The sequence below is a fragment of the Homo sapiens genome, chromosome 12 (genome assembly GCF_000001405.40).
Source record: "Homo sapiens chromosome 12, GRCh38.p14 Primary Assembly".
Taxonomy (NCBI): domain Eukaryota; kingdom Metazoa; phylum Chordata; class Mammalia; order Primates; family Hominidae; genus Homo; species Homo sapiens.
The window spans coordinates 120,008,840-120,032,191 of record NC_000012.12 but is presented as its reverse complement, the minus strand read 5'-3'; the positions used below and the strand labels follow the sequence as shown (position 1 = coordinate 120,032,191).

The window sequence follows — 23,352 nt, the reverse complement described above, 5'->3', positions numbered from 1 at the left end:
CTGACTTCTGAGAATGGAATGTTCTAACACAGGTAGATGTGAGGTCCTGTATACACATAATGGGGTGAAGGGAAGATACAGTGGGAAGTATTTTCTTTTTGAAATAGGGTCTCACTCTATTGCCCAGGCTGGAGTGCAGTAGTGTGATCATAGCTCACTGCAGCCTCAAACTCCTGGGCTCAAGAAATCCTCCCACACCTAAGCCTCCCAAGTAGCTGGGACTACAGGTGCACACCACCATGCCCGGCTAATTTTTTTTTATTTGTAGAGACAGGGTCTCATTATATTGCCCAAGCTGGTCTCAAACTCCTGGGCTCAAGCGATCCTCCTGCCTCGACCTTCTGAAGGCTGGGATTACAGGTGTGAGCCAATGCACCCAGCCAGGAATTTTCTTTTGAGACTGTCAAGACAGTAGACATAAAATGGCCTTTTCGAATTACACAGGGATCTACCACTTTCATGAATGTGCAGACTCTAGTCTTGATTTTGTTTTTTGATCTGATTAAGCCATTTATGCTTTCAACACACATTTGATAAGTACCCATCAAGTGCTTGGTGCACAAAGAGCTACACACACAAAAAGGAAACTGAAGTATGTAGGAATAAAGTATACTGATATCTTCAACTTACTCTGAAATAGATAAAAAAATAAAATGAAGTGATTGATGAATACAGATGGATAGATGTGTGATAAAAAATAATAAAGTAGCCTGTAATCTCAGCACTTTGGGAGGCTGAGGCGGGCAGATCACGAGGTCAGGAGATGGAGACCATCCTGGCTAACATGGTGAAACCCCATCTCTACTAAAAATACAAAAAAATTAGCCAGGCATGGTGGTGGGCACCTGTCATCCCAGCTACTGAGGAGGCTGAGGCAGGAGAATGGCGTGAACCCAGGAGGCGGAGCTTGCAGTGAGCTGAGATTGTGCCACTGCACTCCAGCCTGGGCGACAGAGCAAGACTCTGTCTCAAAAAAAAAAAAAAAAAAGGAACATGTTAATTATAAAATACAGGTGATAGGTATATAGTGCTCACTGAATGATTCTTTCAACTTATGGAAAAGTTGCTTTTCCATATGCTTGAAAGATTTTTTAATAAAGTGTTGGGGAAAAATACGTATACCTTGGTGCCTTGCCTGTAGTTGGTGGTCAGTTCTTAATAATTGTTGGTTGAATTTATGAAAACCAAAACAGGTTAAACACAGTAGGTTCTAAACTCATATCTAGAAACATGTTCTATAAGAGAAATTTGAAATTTGGTCAAGTCCAAGGTTTCTGATCCTCTGAGGCCAAAACCCATGCCTTGAGGCAAACTGGTTATTTGTCATACCCAGGCTGTGCTCTTCACTCAGTTACTGTTGAAAGTAGCAAAGACAAAAAATAGCCCAGGGGTAGAAAAGCAACTTGAAGTATTGTAAGGAAGAAAAATAAAGTGAATATGAGATGTATATATTTCTATAAAAGAAACACTCATTAGCATATAATTCTAGGCAACTATTTTAGTGATGTGGGTCATCCTGCACTTGCAACCTGAAGCCCAGGGTTCCAGACAACATCAGTCTTGCTACCTATCAATAATGTTATGTGACCTTGGGCAAGTCATTTAGTTTGAGGTTCCTCTTTTGTAAAACAGGAGACAATATAAGCCTTTCTACCTCCTGGGGTTTTGATCACGGAAATGCACATTTTTTTGTAAATCTTAAAGCACAATACAAGTGTGAGGTATCTTCATCAACCTACTAGCTCCAAGTGACGCAAGCCTGTCTCACTTTCCAAAATACACCCATCTCTTCAGGAAAATAGCGCAGATAGTCATTATTAGGCTCTTTCTTGGGTTTAATGAAGGGTTGACCTTTCCTCTAAATCATGGGGCTACATTAATAATCTACATCTCGCCTCATTTCCAGATCAATCCACTTGTTATATAGCTATTATTTCCAGAGTATGTTCTGCCCCAACAGTTGTTTACTAAATATAGTTACTAATACAGTATTGTTTACTTGAAATTTGCTTAGAGACAATTTTAAGTGTCCTCATCACTCACTCACACAAAGGGTTACCAAGTGTGGTGACAGATGTGTTAATTAGGTTGTGGTAATCATTTTGCAATGTATACATCTATCAACTCATCATGTTGTACGCTGAATATATACAATTTTTGCCAGTTATCCTTCAATAAAACTGGAAGAAAAAAGACTATTTTAAAAGAAGGTTGATGGGTATTAGCAACAAAAAACAAAATTCTGGGCCGGGCATGGTGGCTCACTCCTATAATCTCAGCACTTTGGGAGGCCAAGGCGAGCAGATCACCTGAGGTCAGGAGTTTGAGGCCTGCCTGGCCAATGTGGCGAAACCCCATTGTACTAAAAATACAAAGATTACAGCTGACGGGTGCCTGTACTCCCAGCTACCTGGGAGGCTGAGGCAGGATAATTACTTGAACCGGCGGGTGGAGGCTGCAGTGAGATCGCGACACTGCACTCCAGCCTGGGCAACAAAGCAAGACTCTGTCTCAAAAATAATAATAATAATAATTCTGGGGTCAAAAAAATTTGGGAAACACTGGATTAAACAGATTTCTTTACTGCTAAGACTTACAAAAGCTTTTAGTGTACTAACATATACTGCAAATCTTTAAGAGATCAATTTATTTGACCATAAGACATTTTTAATTCTGAGATACACTGCTTGACATTGATGCTATTAAAGAAAGCTGCTGTAAATACTTTTGAAAATTCTAAATAGATCTACATTTCAATTCGGGGTCCATGAATGGCAACCAAGTTAAAAATAAAAAATAACACTAAGTTATAATAATCAAGAAGTCATAGACTGTGTTCTATAGAATGAAGCTGAAGGGTCTTTGTCCTATTGAGGGGGAAAAAATGGTGCTAACCTTTAGGTAAAATTATAGCCCTACAATTCAGGGCACAGAGAAGAATACCGCCCTGGGGTTGCATAGTACATTCTGTTCATACCTGTGGAGATCTCAACACGTCTTCCCTTGTATGACTTAGAACAGGGTACACTTTGGGCCTCTAATCACATGCATTAGAAGCCATGGGTCTAAAGGCCCTGCACCCTCAGCTCAGGGCCTGCTTTTGCTCAGCAGGCAATGTTAAGAGGATCCTCACTGACTTCTTGGATCACCACCACCTCAATGATCATTGTTACCTGCCTGCTTTTTCCTAAGTTAGTTGCCCTCCAATTTGACTCTTTGCTTACCTGTAACTTAAGGGATCTGTAGATTCTGCCTAAATAGCTAGGTTTCTGGCCAGTCTTAACTCTTTGTGGCCTCCTTCATAATATAATACATTTTCTTGGTTTTTTCTTTTTTGTTTAGAGACAGGGTTTCACTATGTTGTCCAGGCTAGACTTGAACTCCTGGGCTCAATCAAGCCAGAAGCTCCTCTAGCCTAAGCCTTCCAAGTAGCTGGGACTACAAGTGTACAACAACACACTCAGCTATTTTCTCGCTAATTTTCAATATCTTTTTATCTTATTATTATTATTTTTGAGTCTGAGTCTTACTCTGTTGCCCAGGCTGGAGTGTGCAGTGGGCGATCTCATCTCACTGCAACCTCCACCTTCTGGGTTCAAGTGATTCTCCTGCCTCAGCCTCCAGAGTGGCTAGGATTACAGGCGCCTGCCACCACGCCCGGCTAATGTTTTGTACTTTTAGTAGATACAAGGTTTCAGCATGTTGGCCAGGCTGGTCTCACACTCCTGACCTCAAGTGATCTGCCTGCCTTGGCCTCTCAAGGTGCTGAGAGTACAGGCGTGAGCCACCACGCCCAGCCAATATCTATTTTTTTTTTTTGGAAACCAATTCTTGGATATGTGATTGACAATGGGCCTTTGTAAAGGCCAATGAAACAGAAGAGCCTAAGAAGTAGAGAACAAAACAAAATTAGATATATTTTCTTATTAATTAAAACTCGAGTAAAAATGAAACTTGGAGAAGATCTACCAAACCAGTATTTCTGATAAAGTGTGTAGTCCCAGATAATGACAGAGCTACATTCCAATTCTAGATCCTTGATTAAATTGATAGTCATGACCCTGATGATCAGACATTGAGAGAAAAGCAAAGCCATTTAACAGCTAGCCTTCAAAACAGCCAATTTCCCAATGAATTCTGAATCATTAACAGCATAACAGTATGGTAATGCAGAGTGAGATTAATACCCACCATTACCTCAATTAAAACTCTGCCTTAAAAACACCCATTTAGGAACACAACGATCAACGTTGTGGTGCCTCTGGACTGAATCTTCTTGCTGTTGGCCTTTCTTGTACTGCACTATAATTGCAAATTAAGAGTAAACAGATCTGTTAATTAGGAATGATGGTGTTAAGTGATGTTAGCCTCTGTCTTAAGATGAAAATAGCTAACCTAGTTCTGTGGAGACCAAACATATTTTGGATGCTTACTACACTATACCCAAGAGAAAATTCTAGGACATAAATTGTTCTACAAGAAAAGTCATATTTTCATCATCACCTGCAGAGTGCAAATTGGATTTTTAAAGATCTCAAAGAAATCTGAGGAAAAACAGCCATGACAGAACACAAGAAAGTGACAACAGTATGAGTTTGCGCAGGACCCGGATGATCAACTTTGGGCAAATCACAGCCTCTCTGGGTCTTGGTTTCCTAACCTGTAAAACCGGGATAACAACACCTAATTCAATTTCCCTACCTGTAGAAAAGGGTAATATCTAATACCACCATTTTCAATCTCAAATGAGATTTAATATATTAAAAAATGTTATTACTAAGCATTTTCAAGGTAAAGTGGTACCTCAAGAGGAATAGGGCAAGATTCAACTTTATTTCACAAAAGGATGTGAAATTACACCATTATTCCCAGCTGGGTGTGGTGGCTCACACCTGTAATCCCAGCACTTTGGGAGGTCAAGGCAGGCGGATCATGAGTTCGAGACCAGCCTTGCCAACAGAGTGAAACCCCATCTCTACTAAAAATACAAAAAATTAGCCAGGTGTGGTGGTGTGCACCTGTAATCCCAGCTACTCGGGAGGCTGAGGCACGAGAATCACATGAACCCAGGAGGCGGAGGTTGCAGTGAGCCGAGATTGCGCCATTGCACTCCAGCCCAGGCGACAGTGCAAGAACCCATCTCAAAAAAAAAAAAAAAAAAAAAGAAATTACATCATTATTCTCGTTCTCATTTCAGGTACTGGAATAGCCAATAATTCATATTCTTTCTATGATCCCAGTTTTCCCATGGAATTCCCACCTCAGTTTAATACCAACTCCAATTCAGTTGGATGTGCGGGTAGGGTGAACCAACTTCCTATACTGCCAAGTCTTTGTCATGCCACAGCACTGAGACCTCACAGTAATGCTGGGCAGGTTAGTGGAACACATCCACAGAGGCAGTAAAGAGAGCAAAAAAGATGGCTGACAAGCTAGAGCCTATGACACTGCAGCAGAAAACTCCTGCTCACAATTCATGCCAACAAGTGCTGGGAAGTTGCATCAGGCAATGGTCCTTCTTGCCACAGAAACCCATAGAACCCTCTGAGCTGAAGCAGCCCTTTGCCTCCATCATTAGTGTATTTCCTTGTTATAGGTACTTTAAATCTTGTGTAGTTTTTGTCCTTTTCCCTCAAGAGTGATTAGCTCCTGTTGGTCTAGACTTGGCAAAGCCTTCGGTTCCATTTTATCTTCCATGTTCTTATCTACCTAGCTTCTCATCCACTGCTCTAAATGACAATATTATTTTTTTTTAGAACTTCACTTAAAAACTTTTGTTGGGAAGAAAACTTAAGCCTACAGGAAAGTAAATATTATACTATACAAATGACCATCTGTCCCTCACCTACAACTGTTAATGTTAACATTTTCCTCCATTTGCTTTGTAAATTTTTTCTAAAGTATTTAAAAATAAATCACAGACATTAGGATAATCTTCTCTATAAATGCATATTTATATGCATTTCCATGTAAATTTCAGAACAAATTGATGAACTGCACTTGTCGAATTCTACAAAAAATACTTCAATATGAAACTCTAAATAAATAAATGTGCGTCGGGCACGGTGGTTCATGCCTGTAATCCCAGCACTTTGGGAGGCCGAGGTGGGTGGATTGCTTGAGGCCAGGAGTTCGAGACCAGCCTGGCCAACATGGCGAAACCCCATCTCTAATAAAAATACAAAAATTAGCTGGGCGTACTGGTGTACACCTGTAATCCCAGCTACTCAGGAGGCTGAGGCAGCAGAATCACTTGAACCCTGGAGGTGGAGGTTGCAGTGAGCTGAGGCTGAGCCACTGCACTCCAGCCTAGGTGACAGAGCAAAACTCTGTCTCCAAAAAAAGAAAAAAAAGAAAGCAGTAAAAGGAATGTGGTATATATAGAAATATATACCACAATACTATTAATATTTCACATACAAAAATGAAAAATAATTCCTTAATACCTGATACCCAGTGAAGATTAAAATTCCAACTATACTACACCTTATTTTGAAAATAGCTTTACTGATGTATAATTGATATATGGTAACCTGTACATATTTAAAGCATACAGTCTGGAGTGAAGGTGATCAGCAGTCAATGCTATGCAGTAGGGAGTCTGAGTGCCAGTGGGAAAAGGAAGACTTCAGAGTGTACGGTCATGTGGAAGCCACGCAGGACAGGTTGAGCGAGCTGAAGAGAGAACACGGGTGCAAACACCACATAGGGACCATGTTCTGGGGCAGGCTCCATGGGATGTCCTCATACCCACAACTGTGACCCGTGGTCTACACCAGAAACAAGAGCTTCTGTCTCCTACACTGTCCCTCCAGTTCCCTGTACTAAGAAAGTATAATATCGGCCGGGCGCGGTGGTTCACGCCTGTAATCCCAGCACTTTGGGAGGCCAAGGAGGGCGGATCACGAGGTCAGGAGATCAAGACCATCCTGGCTAACACGGTGAAACCCCATCTCTACTAAAAATACAAAAAATTAGCCGGGCGAGGTGGCGGGCGCCTGTAGTCCCAGCTACTCGGGAGGCTGAGGCGGGAGAATGGTGTGAACCCCAGGGGGCGGAGCCTGCAGTGAGCTGAGATCGCGCCACTGCACTCCAGCCTGGGTGACAGAAAGACTCCTCCGTCTCAAAAAAAAAAAAAAAAAGAAAGAAAGTATAATATCACACACACTTTAAAGAAGAAGGACTTGGCTACACACTTTAAAGAAGAAGGACTTGGCTGGGTGCGGTGGCTCGTGCCTGTGATCCCAGTATTTTGGGAGGCCAAGGCGGGAAGATCATTTGAGGTCAGGAGTTCGAAACCAGTCTGGCCAACATGGTGAAAATCCGTCTTTACTAAAAATATAACAACAACAACAACAACAACAACAAAATGCCAGGTGTGGTGGTACACACCTGTCAATCACTTGAACCTGGGAGGCAGAGGTTGCAGTGAGCCAAGATCGTGCCACTGCACTCCACCCTGGCCAATGGAGTGAGACTCTGTTAAAAAAAAGAAAGAAAGAAAGAAAGAGGATTTAAATAAATTATTATATTTGAGAGTACATACTGAAGGGTACACTGGACGGTGAGAAGCAATAAACTTAGATAAATGACAGTGTAGTTTTCTTCATGTTTCTTGTGTTTGGCATTCAATGAACTTCTTGGATCTGTGGGTTTATACTTATCTTTGGAAAATTTTCAGCCATTATTTGTTCAAAAGTTGTTCCACAGCTCACTGCTAGATGTTTTTTTACTTTTCTGTGTTTCATTGTGGATAATTTCTATCACTATGTCCTCAAATTCATGAAATCTTTTCTCTTGTAATGTCTAATCTGCTATTAATGACATTTAGTGCATTTTTCATCTCAGACATTGTCATTTTCATTTCTAGAAGTTCGATTTAGGTCTGTGTTTTTTGTTTTGTTTTGTTTTGAGATGGAGTCTTGCTCTGTTGCCCCAGCTGGAGTGCAGTGGTGCGATCTCAGCTCACTGCAACCTCTCCATCCCAGGTTCAAGTGATTCTCCTGTCTCAGTTTCCTGAGTAGCTGGGATTACAAGCGTGCACCACCATGCCCAGCTAATTCTTGTATTTTTAAGTAGAGACAGGGTTTCACCATGTTGTCCAGGCTAGTCTCGAACACCTGACCTCAGGTGATATGCCTGCTTTGGCCTCCCAAAGTGCTGGGATTACAAGTGTGAGCCACCGTGCCCAGCCTTAGGTCTGTGTTTTATATCTTCCATGTTTCTACTTAAGTTTTAAACATACAAAGTACAGTTCTAAGAACTCTCCTGTTCTTCTATGCTAAGTCTAACACGTGTGTCAGCTCTGCCTCACTTTCAACAGATTATTCTCTTTATTACAGACCATATTTTCCTGCCTCTTTGCATACCTGGGAATCTTTTTTTTTTCCTTTTTTTTTTTCGAGATGGAATTTTACTCTGTCACCCAGGCTGGAGTGCAGTGGTACGATCTCAGCTCACTGCAACCTCTGCCTCCCAGGCTCAAGCGATTCTCCTACCTCAGCCTCCTGAGTAGCTGGGATTACAGGTGCCTGCCAGCACGCTCAGCTAATTTTTTGTATTTTTAGTAGAGATGGGGTTCACCATTGTTGGCCAGGCTGGTCTTGAACTCCTGACCTCAAGTTATCCACCCAGGTTGGCCTCCCAAAGTGCTGGGATTACAGGCATGAGCCACTGTGTTGGGCCCATACTTGAGAATCTTTGATTGGATGTCAGACATTGTGAATTTTACCATGTTAGGTGTTCAATATTTTTGTGTTCCCATAGCCTTTTTTGATCTTTATTATGGGATAGAGTTAAATTACTTGGATATAGTTTGATCCTTTTGAATCTTGCTTTTAAGATTTGTTAGGTAGGCCCAGAGAAGTACTGTTTAGATGCAAGCTTGTCCAACCCATGGCCCACAGGCTTTGAAAGTGGTCCAACACAAATTCATAAACTTTCTTAAAACATTGAGATCTTTTTGCAATTTATTTTTTATTTTTAGCTCATTAGCTATCATTAGTGTATTTCATATGTGGTCCTAGACAATTCTTCTTTTGATGTGGCCCAGGGAAGTCAAAAGATTGGATACCCCTGGTCCAGAGCTAATTATTCACTACTACTAAGGCAACACCTTCCCAAGTACTGGCTGGTAGTAACAAGCACTGTTGCAACTACTGTCTGAACATGGGACCCATTCCATCAAATCCCCAGTCCTGAATAGTTTGCTCACATGTTTATGTTGATTGGTCTCTGATGAATACTCAAGAGACCTGCAGACCTCTGGGGTTCTCTCTGTATCTCTCTCTTCTTTCTGCTACTCCCTCCTATGAATGGTAGCTGCACCGGTCTCACTGGATTCACAGTACCATGTCAACTTACAGAGTTCACTGGGCTCTGCTTCATTTTCTGCTTCTGGTGCTACAGCTTTGAAAGTCAAGGCAGTCTGGGGGCAATTGTAGGCCTCACCTCTTTTGTTTCCCCATTTCTCGGGGATCACTCTCCTGCATTACCTGATATCTAGTCTCTTGAAAACATTGTTTCATATAGTTTGTGTATGTTTTTATAAGTGGGAAAGTAAACCTGGTCTCTGTTATGCCAGCTTCACTGGAAGCAGAAGTCCCCAATATACCTTATAAAGCTAATTTGTTCAAACTAAGATCCAAACATTGCATTTGTTTTTCATGCCTCTTAAGTCTCCTTTAATATATATATATACACAAAAATATATAAAATATATATAAATATATAATATATAAAATACATATATTATATATAATATAAAAAATATATATATAAATATATATTTTTAAGAGACAGGGTCTCACGCTGTTGCCTAGGGTGGTCTCGAACTCCTGAGCTCAAGCAATGCTCCTGCTTCAGCATCCCAAAGTGCAGAGATTACAGGCATGAGCCACTGTGCCCAGGCTCTTTCAATTTTTAACAAATTTCCATCCCATATATTTCTGCTTTTCTGTGAAGCTGAATAGACCTAGTTTTCCTACAGGTTGTCCACTTTCTGGATTTATCTGACATGGCTTCCTCATTAAGTCAATTAACTTGTTCCTCCAACCCAGAGGCTGACAAACTTTCTGTAAAGAGCCAGAAAGCAAAACTGTGGTTCTTGTGAGCCACATACTACCTCTGTTATATACTCTTCTTTGGTTTTTGGTTGTCTTTTTGTTTTTTTTGTAAAAGTCATTATTTTATTTTACTTTACTATGATATTTTTATTTATTTTTTTATATTTTATTTTATTTTTATTATTTTATTTTTTTATTTATTTTATTTTATTTTATTTTATTTGAGACAGAGCCTCGCTCTGTTGCATAGGCTGGAGTGCAGTGGTGCAATCTCGGTTCACTGCAACCTTCACCTCCCGGGTTCAAGCAAATCTCCTGCCTCAGCCTCCCGAGTAGCTGGGATTACAGGCATGCGCCACCACGCCCAGCTAATTTTAGTATTTTTAGTGGGGACAGGGTTTTACCATGTTAGCCAGGTTGATCTCCAACTGGAGACCTGACCTCTGGTGATCTGCCCACTTCAGCCTCCCAAAGTGCTGGGATTACAGGCATGAGCCACCACACCTGGCTGATTCTCTTTTTTTTTTTTTTTTTTTTTTTTGAGATGGAGTCTCGTTCTGTCACCCAGGGTGGAGTGCAGTGGCGCAATCTTGGCTCACTGCAACCTCTGCCTTCTGGGTTCAAGCGATTCTCCTGCCTCAGCCTCCCTAGCAGCTGGGACTACAGGCGCGTGCCACCATGCCCGGCTAATTTTTGTATTTTTAGTAGAGATGGGGTTTCACCATGTTAGCCAGGCTGGTCTCCAACTCCTGACCTCAGGTGATCCGCCCACCTTGGCCTCCCAAAGTGCTGGGATTACAGATGTTAGCCACCGTGCCCTGCCTATTCTCTCCTTTTTTTTTTTGAGATGGAGTCTTGCTCTGTCGCCCAGGCTGGAGTGCTCTGGTACCATCTCTGCTCACTGTAACCTCTGCCTTCTGGGTTCAAGCAATTGTTATGCTTCACCCTCCCAAGTAGCTGGGACTACAGGCACATGCCACCACACCTGGCTAATTTTTTGTATTTTTAGTAGAGACAGGGTTTTGCCATGTTGGCCTGGCTGGTTTCAAACTCCTGGCCTCAGGTGATCTGCCTGCCTTGGCCTCCCAAAGTGTTGGGATTACAGGTGTAGACACCACGAGACCAGTGTTTTTTTTTGTAAAAGTCCTTTAGAAACATAAACACCATTCTTGGCTCAAGGGCCATACAAAGATGGCCAAATCCAGCACAAGGCCTGTCTAAAGCCTTGAATAGATTCAGGTGAAATAATTTTCACAAGAACACAGCATAGGTGAGCTGTTTACTTCATACTGCCTGGTTGTCCCCACCATTCATGATGCCAAGATGGAGCACTTGTTAAAGTAAACCCCTCCCATTGTAAAGCTGTGTCTTTCTCCTTGTAATCATCAAATAACCTGTGGGATGATATGTCCAGTTCTCCATCTACTGTTCACCTAATAGTTTTATCATCTGTAGATGATTTTTGCCTGAATCAGTTATTTTATTAGGAGTTGGAATGGTTATTCCCCAATTATAACATTACTTCTATAAACATGAGCAGGCATTCTTATGTAAAGATCATACCCTCATCACCTAGAGTTATTTGGTTACCTTAAAAAAAAAGGTTGCTCCTGGAAAAATGCTTAATTTTTTCTTTTTATCAATATTTAGAGTAAGGAGTTAATGTTTAAGTAATTTTTAGTTCTGACAACTGTTGGGGAAGCTTTCTCTTTTCTGAGTATTATTACAATATAACAGACTCTGACGTTTTATATATTCATGTGTTTAAATCAATTGCAGCCAACTCTCCAGCCGTCCCGCCTTCGGCCAATTAAGAGTCCCTTCCAACTGGCTTCTCTGTCCTTTTGACACAACTCCATTAGTTCATCTGTTTTAAACTGCGGTATAATTATTCCATTAGATTTTAATAGTGTTCTTATTTCTGGCACAAGATAATGTGTCAGGCTCGCCCTATCAAGTTCCTGTTTCAGACCTGGAATTAGTCATTTCTCCAGAGAGCCCTGGTTATTCAGAAATTAAAATATGGGCACTGGGGGTGCTCATTACTACTAACTAGTATTTCATTGCTTCTAAGCCCTTTGAGGACAGAACTAAGAAAAAAAAGATATATGAACAGCACTTCCATATTCTGATTCTGGTTTGCCTATACATCCTAACCTCTTTTGACCTCTCTCTCATTGCTTGCCTGGTTCTTCATCACAGCTGCTCCTCAAACCCATTCCCTTGCTTACATCATACTTGCTATAATTACTGAAGCCTCTCTTGCTAAATACTAAGGTGCTACTATTTTTGTTCTTGGGTTGTATGATATTGCATGACTTTGACCATGAATCTCAGCAGACAAAAATGAAGGGATATCGCCATCAAAATAATGTGTCTGCCAGTTGCAGTGGTGGACACCTGTAGTCCCAGCTACTTGGGAGGCTGAGGCAGGGGGATCTGTTGAGCCCAGGAGTTCCAAGCCAGCCTGGGCAACACAGAGAGACTCCCAGACTCGGTCTCAAAAAAACAAACTAACAAAAACGATGTGTAGCAAGATTTACTTGCTGAGCACTAATGATGTAATGCCACATCTCTGTTATTTACCTATGAAATCAGCAAAATTTGAAAAAAATATTAAATTTTCTATTTTCTGAATCATCAAACTTTATAACCTTCTGCACACAGGGCACTAGTATAGGCAATGGAAATATAAATGACTCTAAAATACAATCTCTAACTTCATAGTCCTTTCAGCTTTAATGCCCAGGTGATGAGACACCAGATGAATTACAGTAGAGTCAGAGGATAAAAAGAAATATAAATAAATGAGTAACAGTACAAATGCAGTTACAATTCACTAAGCCAGATAGACTTTTTTTTTTTAAGAGACAGAGTCTCACTATGATGCCCAGGTTGGAGTGCAGTAACTTTTCATAGGCACAATCACACTACTAATCAGCACGCAAGTTTTGACCTGCTCTGTTTCTAACCCGGGCTGGTTCACTTCACCTTAAGCAAGCTGGCGGTCCCCCGCTCCCGAGAGGTCACCATATTAAGGCCATGGACACAAGACACAGACTTTTTTTTTTTTTTTTTTTTTTGAGACGGAGTCTCGCTCTGTCGCCCAGGCTGGAGTGCAGTGGCGGGATCTCGGCTCACTGCAAGCTCCGCCTCCCGGGTTCACGCCATTCTCCTGCCTCAGCCTCCCAAGTAGCTGGGACTACAGGCGCCCGCCACTACGCCCGGCTAATTTTTTGTATTTTTAGTAGAGACGGTGTTTCACCACGTTGGCCAAGAAGGTCTTGATCTCCTGACCTCGTGATCCACCCGCCTCAGCCTCCCAAAGTGCTGGGATTACATGTGTGAGCCACCGCGCCTGGCCAACACAAGACTTTATATGTAGTCTACAACCCTAACAACCCCATAAGGTATATAGTATGATTTTTTTTTTATAACAATTCCTATTTTCCAGATGAGGAAAATGTGCAACTGCAAACTTTCTGAACATCAACCAACACAACTGGTAATCAACAGAGCCAAAATAAACCCAGGTTCATCTAGTGCCAAAACCTGCATTCATTTCACTACAGCATACAGCCTCCTAGAAAGAGTGATGGATGAAATATACCCTGACTTCAAGATTTAAGGTTTTGCTTTCATTCCACACAATCTTTCTCAGACACTGACTGTGCTACTTAGGTGGAAGAAAGGCTTACCTGAAAGGTTCCTCCAGTGCCTTGGAACTCTCAGATTCTAACAGGGAATCTGAGAGAGTCCATTTTGTTCAATTTCCTTACCAATGAAGGAATTAAGTTGTAACACTGGCTACTGATACTAAATTGGGCAAGAACAGCTGTCTCCAATCCTGGTTTCACGTTAGAATGGTAATTCTCATCTTTGCCTACACATTACAATCACCTGCTTTTAAAAATCTAGATGCCCAGATCACATCCCAGAGCAGTTAAGTCAAATCTCTGAGGGTGGGACCAGACATCGGTATCCAGCGCAAAAGCTGCCCAGGTGATTCTAATATGCAATCAGGGATGAGAATTACAGCTTTAGAACACAGGAATAGCATTTACTAAATGACTTTGACAGATTGCTGGTGGGGAGAAGGTTCCTATCCAAAAAGATGAAACCAAAGGAAACGGGTAGATATAAACAGCAATCTGAAGTCAGCAAGAATCAAGCATGGAAACAGGTGTTTGCAAGTATCCACACAGTCCCCATTTCAAAAAAGTTTGTGAAAAGCAGACTACTATTAATCTCACCTAATTCAGGTTAAGTTAGAATTCTCAGCTGTTGGCTCCACAGCCTATACTCGATTAAATCATACTGCTTTCTACTAATACTAGCTGCCACTAATTGAGCAACTATTATGCGGCCAAATCTTGACACATTTTCTTTTTTTTTTCAGGCAGGGTCTCACTGTGTCACCCAGGCTGGAGTACAGTGGTGTAATCATAGCCTACTGCAACCTTGAACTCCTGGGCTCAAGTGATCCTCTTGCCTCAGTCACCCAAGTAGCTACAACTATAGACCTGTGCCACCATGCCCAGCTTATTTTTAAAAAAATTTTTGCAGAGACGGGTCTTGCTATGTTGCCCACGCTGTTCTCAAACTCCTGGGCTCAACCAATCTTCCTGCCTTGGGATATATTTTCATTTAGTCTTCAAACAACTTTATGAGGCAGGTCTCCATTTTACAGATGATGCATAAAAAGACACAAAATAACTTACATTTATTTCTAAACAAGTCATCTGGATCAGTGGCTCCCAACTTACAAACCATGAATCCTTTGGGGACACCGAGTTGCTTTAAGAGCACTGCCTCTATACTGAACACATCATGTTAATACACGCTGTTTTGATTCTAGAATATAAATCCTTTTAAAAGTATTACTCAATCCCTGTGTTGTTTTATCAATCTGCTGATATAAAACAACATCTAGGCTGGGCACGATGGCTCACGCCTGTAATTCCAGCACTTTGGGAGGCCAGGGCAGGCGGATCACAAGGTCAGGAGATCTAGACCATCCTGGCTAACACAGTGAAACCCTGTCTCTACTAAAAATACAAAAAATTAGCCGGGTGTGGTGGCGGGTGCCTGTAGTCCCAGCTACTCGGGAGGCTGAGCTCAGCAGGAGAATGGCATGAACCCGGGAGGCAGAGCTTGCAGTGAGCCGAGATCGTGCCACTGCACTCCAGACTGGGAGAGAGAGCGAGACTCCGTCTCAAAAAATGAAATAAAATAAAGTAAAATAAATCTATTACCATGTGAAGGTCTACAATTTTTTTTTTTTTTACATACTAAAAAGGAGTCCTCTTGTGGAGAAACTGGAACTCTCACGCATTGTTGGTAGGAATATAAACTGGTACAAGCTTCTTTGAAAATAAGTTTGGCGGTTTCTTAAAAAGTTACAGACAGGACAGGTGTGGTGGTTCACACCTGTAATCCTAGCACTTTGGGAGGCTAAGATGGACAAACTGCTTGAGCCCAAGAGTTCAAGATCAGCCTGGGCAACATGGCAAAACTGTCTCTACAAAAAATACAAAAATTAGCTGGGCATGGTGGCACATGCCTGTAGTCCCAGCTACTTGGGAGACTGAAGTGGGAGAATCACCAGAGTAGTGAGCCATGATCACGCCACTGTACTCCAGCATGGGTGACAGAGTGAGACCCTGTCTCAAAAAAAAAAAAAAAAAAAAAAAGGTTACAGACATACCATATAGCAATTCCACTCCTAAATATCTACCCAAAAGAAATGAAAGTGTAAGTCCAAAGACTTGTACATGAATGTTCCTAACAGCACTATTCATAATAGTTGAAAATTGGAAACAATCCAAATCTCCATTAACTGGTTATGGATAAACAAAATGCAGTATATTCACACAATGGAATACTAAAAAAGGAACTATTATGTGCTATAACACGAGTGAACCTCACAGACGTGATGCTAAGTGAAAGAGGCCAGACACAAAAACTATATATTGCCTGATTCCATTTATATGAAATATCCAGAAAAGGAAAATCAATACAGACAGAAAACAGATCAGTGTTTTCCTGGGGCTGCGGGTGGGGACAGGAGTGAAGACTGAATGCAGAACGATATGGGGGAACTTTTTGGGGTAGCAGAAATGTTCTAAAATTGGATTATGGTGATGGCTGCACAACTCTGTACATATGCTAAAAATTGAATTATACATTTACAGTGGGTGAATTTATAAACTGTAAATTATACTTCAATAAGGCTGTTTCAAAATATTGTAGAAGGTCATTGGATTAGGTTTTAAAAAGGGGGTTCCTTACACTGAAAGACTGGGAACCAGTGATCTGGACAATGGAAAAGGAATTCAGCAAGATTAAGTATATATTAAGAGAAGTGAAATAATTCTCTGGGTGGGTTCAACCTTTTAGTAAATGGTCAAGTTTGCTATACATTTGAACCACAGAACTAAGTAACATATGCTTAGCTGGCTTGTGAATCTAGTTCTAACACATACGAAGTTTCCAGATAAGGTGCTCAGCCCTGTGGGGGAGGTGCCCTGAGTGCACAGTCCTTGACTCAATGGAGTCAAATACATGAATTAACCGTAAGAGATGACAGAATGTAAATGACAAAAGAAAGGGACTAAAGCACTCTAGTTGGTAAGTAGGAGAGATCAAAGCTGGTGGGAGAAGAACAGCAAAGTTCTCATGAAGGAAGTGGCAACTGAGCCTGGCCTTCAGGACTGGGGGAAATTCCAACGGTGGTACAAGTAGAAAGAAGAGGCAGGGCTGGAAATGTGTGCTAGGTCCAGAAGGTACAGGGCTTTGAATGCCATGCCCTTTCTTATTTGTTATGCCAAGGGAGTCCCCTAAATGCAGTAAGAGTTGTTTAGAGCTTCCAAAGAGGAAGGTATCTGACAATGGGAAAAAATGGAGGAGCAGAGCTTAAAGGCAAGGAGATGTTTCAGGTTATTGCATAAAGTTAAGAAAGCTTCAACAAGCTTTCCCTTCCCACTGCAAGTGGGAAGGGGCAGACTCTTGAATTCTCTGGTCTTGGGGCAAGGGAGGGAAGATCCATCTTGAATTATGTGTCCTCTCTTGAGGGTTTCAGCTTTGTCACTTTCCCTGACTCTCATAAGATTTGTCTGTCTCTCCCACTGACAGTTAAAAGTCCATAACCTATAACTTTAGCAGACTGTATTTTCAGAAGACATGTTTTCACTCATTTTTTTTTCAAACAAAGGATTCTATTTGGTAAATAAATTCCTTTCATTTTAGGGAAGTAACATGACATACAAATAATTTTTTTTATTTTTTAATTTTTTTTTAGAGATGGGAGTCTCACCATGTTGCCCAGGGTGGTCTCGAACTTCTGGGATCAATCCTCCCACCTTGGCCTCCCAAGTGTTGAGATTACAGGTGTAAGCCACCACACCCAGCCAAGAATGGTTTGCTTTTTTTTTTTTTTGAGATGGAGTCTCGCTCTGTCACAGGCTGTAGTGCAGTGCCGTGATCTCGGCTCACTGCAACCTCTGCCTCCTGGGTTCAAGCGATTCTCTTGCCTCAGCCTCCTGAGTAGCTGGGATGAAAGGCACGCGCCACCACACTTGGCTAATTTTTGTATTTTCAGTAGAGACGGGGTTTCATCATGTTGGCCAGGATGGTCTCGATCTCCTGACTTTGTGATCTGCCCGGCTCAGCCTCCCAAAGTGCTGAGATTACAGACGTGAGCCACTGCACCGGTGCAAGAATGGTTTTTTAATTCAAACTCTGCTGGTTTTCAAAATAGATGTTACTTTTGAAAGATGCCTCAATCCGATGCTACATTAAATTTTATTTTGGTTTTTGAGGAATAATTCAAATACTAAGCAGAATGCAAGGCTTCGAGTTGACTTGAAGTAACTGGTAGGTAGGTTCTATGTAGGGCTCCTTTTAAATATTGAAGTTCTTCTTTAATAATAGCTTTCTGTCTGCTAGGTTTTTAAGTAAACAGACTGCATAAAACAAAACATGATCGTTTAAGTAAACAGAATTACTTTGCAAAGATTTTTACACCTTGTTTTTCAAAGATTTTTTATAACACACATTTACCTAAACCACAGGTTTACTGGCTGTGACCTTAGATGAGTCACATCCTCCTACGGCCTTAGTGCTTTCTTCAACTGTGAGATCAAAAGGTCAGACTAGACAAGAGCTAAATAACATGGGTTAACCTTGCCCTTCAACAACTGTAATATGCGGGGGTTTCCACCATCTTAAAACACTATGCTAGAAATCTAAAGTCAAATTAGTTATTACCTACATTTCAGTCTTCAGAACAAATCAATGAGACTTTTCTGGATCCCTGCCATAATATGCATGGCACTAAGTGTTGTTGGGGATAAAAACTGGTTAAAGGCTGGACACGGTGGCTCACGCCTGTAATCCCAGCACTTCGGGAGGCTGAGGCAGGCGGATCACTTGAGGCCAGGAGTTCAAGACCTGCCTAATCAACATGGCAAAACCCTGTCTCTACTAAAAATACAAAAATTAGCCAGGCGTGGTGGCGGGCACCTGTAATCCCAGCTACTCAGGAGGCTGAGGCAGGAGAATCACTTGAACCCAGGAGGCGGAGGTTGCAGTGAGCCGAGATCGCGCCACTGCACTCCAGCCTGGGTGATAGAGTAAGACTCTGACACACACACACACACACACACACACACACACACACACACACACTCTGGTTAAAGACATAGTCCCTGCAATTCATGGTGTCTAAAACCTAGCAGGAGAAGAAATATAATCATGTGACATTAAATGACAATAAAATTTGGACCACAGGCTTTATAATTTTTTTTTTTTTTTGAGATGGAGTCTTGCTCTGTCCCCCAGGCTGGAGTGAAGAGGTGTGATCTTGGCTCATTGCAACCTCCACCTCCCAGGTTCAAACGATTCTCCTGCCTCAGCCTTCTGAGTAGCTGGGACTACAGGCATATGCCACCAGACCCGGCTAATTTTTTTTGTATTTTTAGTAGAGACGGGGTTTCGCCATGTTGGCCAGGCTGGTCTTGAACTCCTGACCTTAGGTGATCCACCCGCCTTGGCCTCCCAAAGTGCTGGGATTACAGGCATGAGCCACCATTACCGGCCCACAGGCTTTATAACTTAGATAAATTAAGAGTTTGACAAAAAGCATTCCCAAATGTCCCTACCACTGAAGGCAATGTAAAGGATAATGATATTCCATGTATAGCCCACCCTATGGGAGGTGGGGTGCTGGTCTGTGTAGGGAATGAGCTGGACACAGTATAGCAGATCTTATATTCATATTTTATAATCTGTTAGTTCCATTTCTGCAGAATTATAATGGAATAAAGGCTTTCCCCTTCCTTTCCCTTCCCTTTCCTTTAAAAAAGAAAAAAAATACATAATGGAATAAAGGTTCTAAGTGGTGGACTGTTTGAGGGATTCAGCTAATACCTCATGTCCTTAATTCATATATGAGAACACATAGAATTGATATCTATTACTTAGATCTTATCATTAATGTAAAGGGAAAGACATATGCTAAAACATCTCTGACATCATAGTTACATCTTGCCCGCCCTCTGAGCCTGACCAGGACAGTGTCATAGGAGGAGGTATAACTGGTATCCATGGCAACATCACCAGACTGGGACAATGTGAAAAGCCGTAACCTAGCAACTGATGACGAGAGGTGTGTATAGGGGGAATTCTTACAGTTCTGCAAATGACAAACATGCAGCATTGAATGCAACTAATCATACCAGGGCAATGCGGAAAATCTGACTTATTCGTGGAGAATTACAGAATGTCAACCTCATAAAACCTTAGTACTATGATGCATAATTTTAAACAGGAAAATCACATAAACACCTCCTCATTCCCCACACCGTCAGTCGTGTGCAGGGAAAGTACCTTATGTGTCATGACTGGAATGGAAAATAAATTTTGTTGTGGCACCAATCATCTCAACCTCTCTCTATTTCTCATTACACAAAGGAGTAAATTTGGGTGAGAGGAGAAGCCGCCCTCGGTCCCAGAGAAGGATGAATATGTTCTGCATGCAAAGGCGGCAGCATTACAAAGTTACCAGACATGATATACCACATCATGTGAGACTATCTCTCTACTAATTTTCTTTCCAACAGAGATCGCATACGTACATGTGGACATTTAGAGAGCGAAGGAATCATCTCGTTCAATCTCCGTGTTTTACTGACAGAAATTGAAACCCAGAGTGAGGATTTATTCAAAGTCAGAAAATTAGTGACAGAACATGGGCTAGAACCTAGGTCTTCTGTTTTCCAGGTCAATTCATTCCATTAAAGCACAATGCTATTCTTCCTCATGTTTAAACAGAAATGCTGTTGGACTTTATGGGAATGAGAAAAAAACCTCTATTATGTAAAGCCATTGAGAGCTTAGGGTTTATGTATTATAACAGTTAATGTTATTCTACCTAATATAACCATGAAAGGGTCTATCTCACCCTAAGGCAATCCCTGAAAAAGATACCAACTTTTTTTTATTTTGGGGATTCTGGATCAAGTTATAACTTCAAAGGAATTTACCCAACTCTGTGATTATCAAAGATATTACCTGAGTACAAAAAGACCAAACAGCTTCTCTATCTGGGATAGAATGGTGAATGTGTACCAAAAAAGGTGATACTGTTACAACTATATCTGCCTTGGAATCCTACCTAGTTAGAATTGGAAGATCTTAGCAATCAGCCACTCTAATCTCTTTAGAAAACTGAAGCCCAGGACTCTTTCTACTGACTCCATTATGGCTGACACTGGCTAGTTGTTCACCAACCCATTTCTTCTCCTCCCTGGGCAAAAAGCTGGTCTACATTTCCCAGGTTTTCTTGTAACTGAGTATGGCCATGTGACTGAGCTCTGACCAGCAAATGAGCGGAAGCAACAGGCACCATTTCCAGGCATAGCCCACAGAAATCTTCCAGGTTCTTTTCCTTCTGCTACGACCTTAGAAGTCACCTGTTGAAAACAGCCGAGTCACAAGATGGAAGATGGCTGGAGGAGAACTGAATCACTGCCTGAACTAAGAGCCACTGACCACTCAGGAATACCAGCTTTTAATTCCTGTTAGGCTACTAAAAGTTGGTGACTGATCCGTCACAACAACTTCAGTATTAACGAATAAAACTGTAACTAGGGTTACTCTTCTACAAATAATGAATACCACCCCTTTTTTTCTTAATCAGTAAATATCATTTATTATCAAAGAGATGGCTTGTTTTACTTGTTAAGCCAGTAAGAGCCCCACAGGAAGCAGCAGAGGACTGGGACTGCAGACTTGAGCAAATCACTTAACTTCCCCGGGGCTCTGCTTCCTTAACTAGTCATAGATTAGTGACTGCACATCATTTTTCTTTAAACTCAGATAAAAAAAAACACTTTTTCCCTCAAATAAAATATTAAACAGAACTTCAATACATAAAACATTAAAATGCTCAGGTTGAAGTGAAAATGGGGAAGGGGACAGGAATCCACCAGATTAACAATCCATTCAGCTCTTCCTTGCAGCTATTCCCTGAGGCACCTCTTAGAGACCTATGGCTCCTCAGAATAGTTTGAGAACCGCTGATTGAAACCAATGGTTTTCCAAATTATATGGGATTTTTTTGTTGGCACCCACAGCCCTTTTCCATATGAAATCTTATGTGAAGCCTCAATAAACAGAACAGATAAACAGAACAAAGTAATCTTTTATTAAGTATTTTATAATGTAGATGTATAAAATTTATAAACTCAATTAAGAAAAATTAGACCTTTCCAAAATAATTTGAAATTGGAGGATAAGGATGATGGTGGCAATCTTACTCAGTATGCATGTATTTGTGAATTTAGTTGATTTTAAATATTGAAAACAAATTGTTTTATTCACCCAGTGAAGCAGTTACAAGCGCAACCAGTTTTACTCAGTCCACCTTACAACTGCATAATACTCTTTAGTTAATAGAAGTGGCATGGAGGCTGCAGGCTGGCGTCTCCACACATTCAGGCAAAGCTGGCAGCACAGGCTGAGGCACTGGTGGTCTTGCGTGTGTTCTACATGACATCTCAAGAGGGTTCATGATGACTATTTTGGTAATGGTTCTTTGGAGTGTTACAAATTTTAAAAACACATTCAAGTTTGCAGAATCCCTGAAGAGCAAACATTTCACAAACCACTGGTCCAGATAGACCAGAAGTTCTCTTTTAGCTCTAAAACACTTATAATAGCACTGGACTATTGGCCCAGATGCCAATGTAGAGAAATGGAGATGATGCTATCTGTGTCAAAACATTACTTGCTTTTCTGTTGATGGTTCATTCACTGGATACAGATATTTTGTTTTTCAAAGCAACAATACTTAGGAACCACAACTATGGGCTAACCAGCATAAGTAACAAAAGAGTATATAGTATGCTGCCAACTTTTTGTCTGCCTGTCAACTCCAACCTTCCTACCATCTGCAATCTTCCTACCATTTACCAAGTACAAAATTTGGGGGCCCCACCTCACATCAGGCAAGGGCAGCTCATTTAAACTCTATTTTTATCTCTCCTACACAATATACCAAGCTGTCTACAAGGATTGAGTGAATCCAGATTTCAAGGTAAAAAGAAAGACTAACTGCCACATTAAGCCAAATCTAGAAGCATGAAAAAGATCTACCCCTACAGTAATTAATCTGAATCTTGGGCCTTCAAACCTCCAAAATTTAGGCCCAATATACTAGAACTTTAGGCGTTCCTCTTTGGAAAAAGAAAACCAGAACTAGATACTTGTAGCCCACACAACCAACCTGAAGACTCTTGAATCAGGCATGGCTCTCTCGGTAAATAATTAAGAACAGGCTCAGCCAGGCGCAGTGGCTCATGCCTGTAATCCCAGCACTTTGGGAGGCCGAGGCGGGCGGATCATGAAGTCAGAAGATCGAGACCATCCTGGCCAACATGGTGAAACCCCATTTCTACTAAAAATACAAAAATTAGCTGGGTGTGGTGGCGTGTGCCTGTAATCCCAGCTACTCGGGACGCTGAGGCACGAGAATCACTTGAACCCAGGAGGTGGAGTTTGCAGTGAGCCGAGATTGCGCCACTGCACTCCAGCCTGGTGACAGAGGAAGACTCCATCTCAAAAAGAAAAGAACAGGCTCAACTAATCAATACAAGAATCTACCAAAAAAAAAAAAAAAACACCTCTATGCCGGAAGAATAAGCAATTACCACCCTAATGTGTTTAACCTACTAATTAGCAATAGCACAATCTGGAAATGCTGGAAAATCTGTCTTCACAGAAGAGA

General features: G+C 41.4%; 1 protein-coding gene across 16 annotated transcripts in view, besides 1 other annotated feature; it reads right to left on the bottom strand.

The window, feature by feature from the left end:
• Nucleotides 1-23,352, bottom strand: part of BICDL1 (BICD family like cargo adaptor 1) — a 105,260-nt gene that overhangs the window by 62,304 nt on the left and 19,604 nt on the right. The gene's annotated exons all lie outside the window — the stretch shown is intronic.
• Nucleotides 19,532-19,611: an enhancer, noted in NCBI's record as "active region_7120". NCBI's record gives its function as "activates an Ori minimal core promoter by ATAC-STARR-seq in GM12878 lymphoblastoid cells {active_cell/tissue: GM12878}" and the evidence as "EXISTENCE:reporter gene assay evidence [ECO:0000049][PMID:35858748]".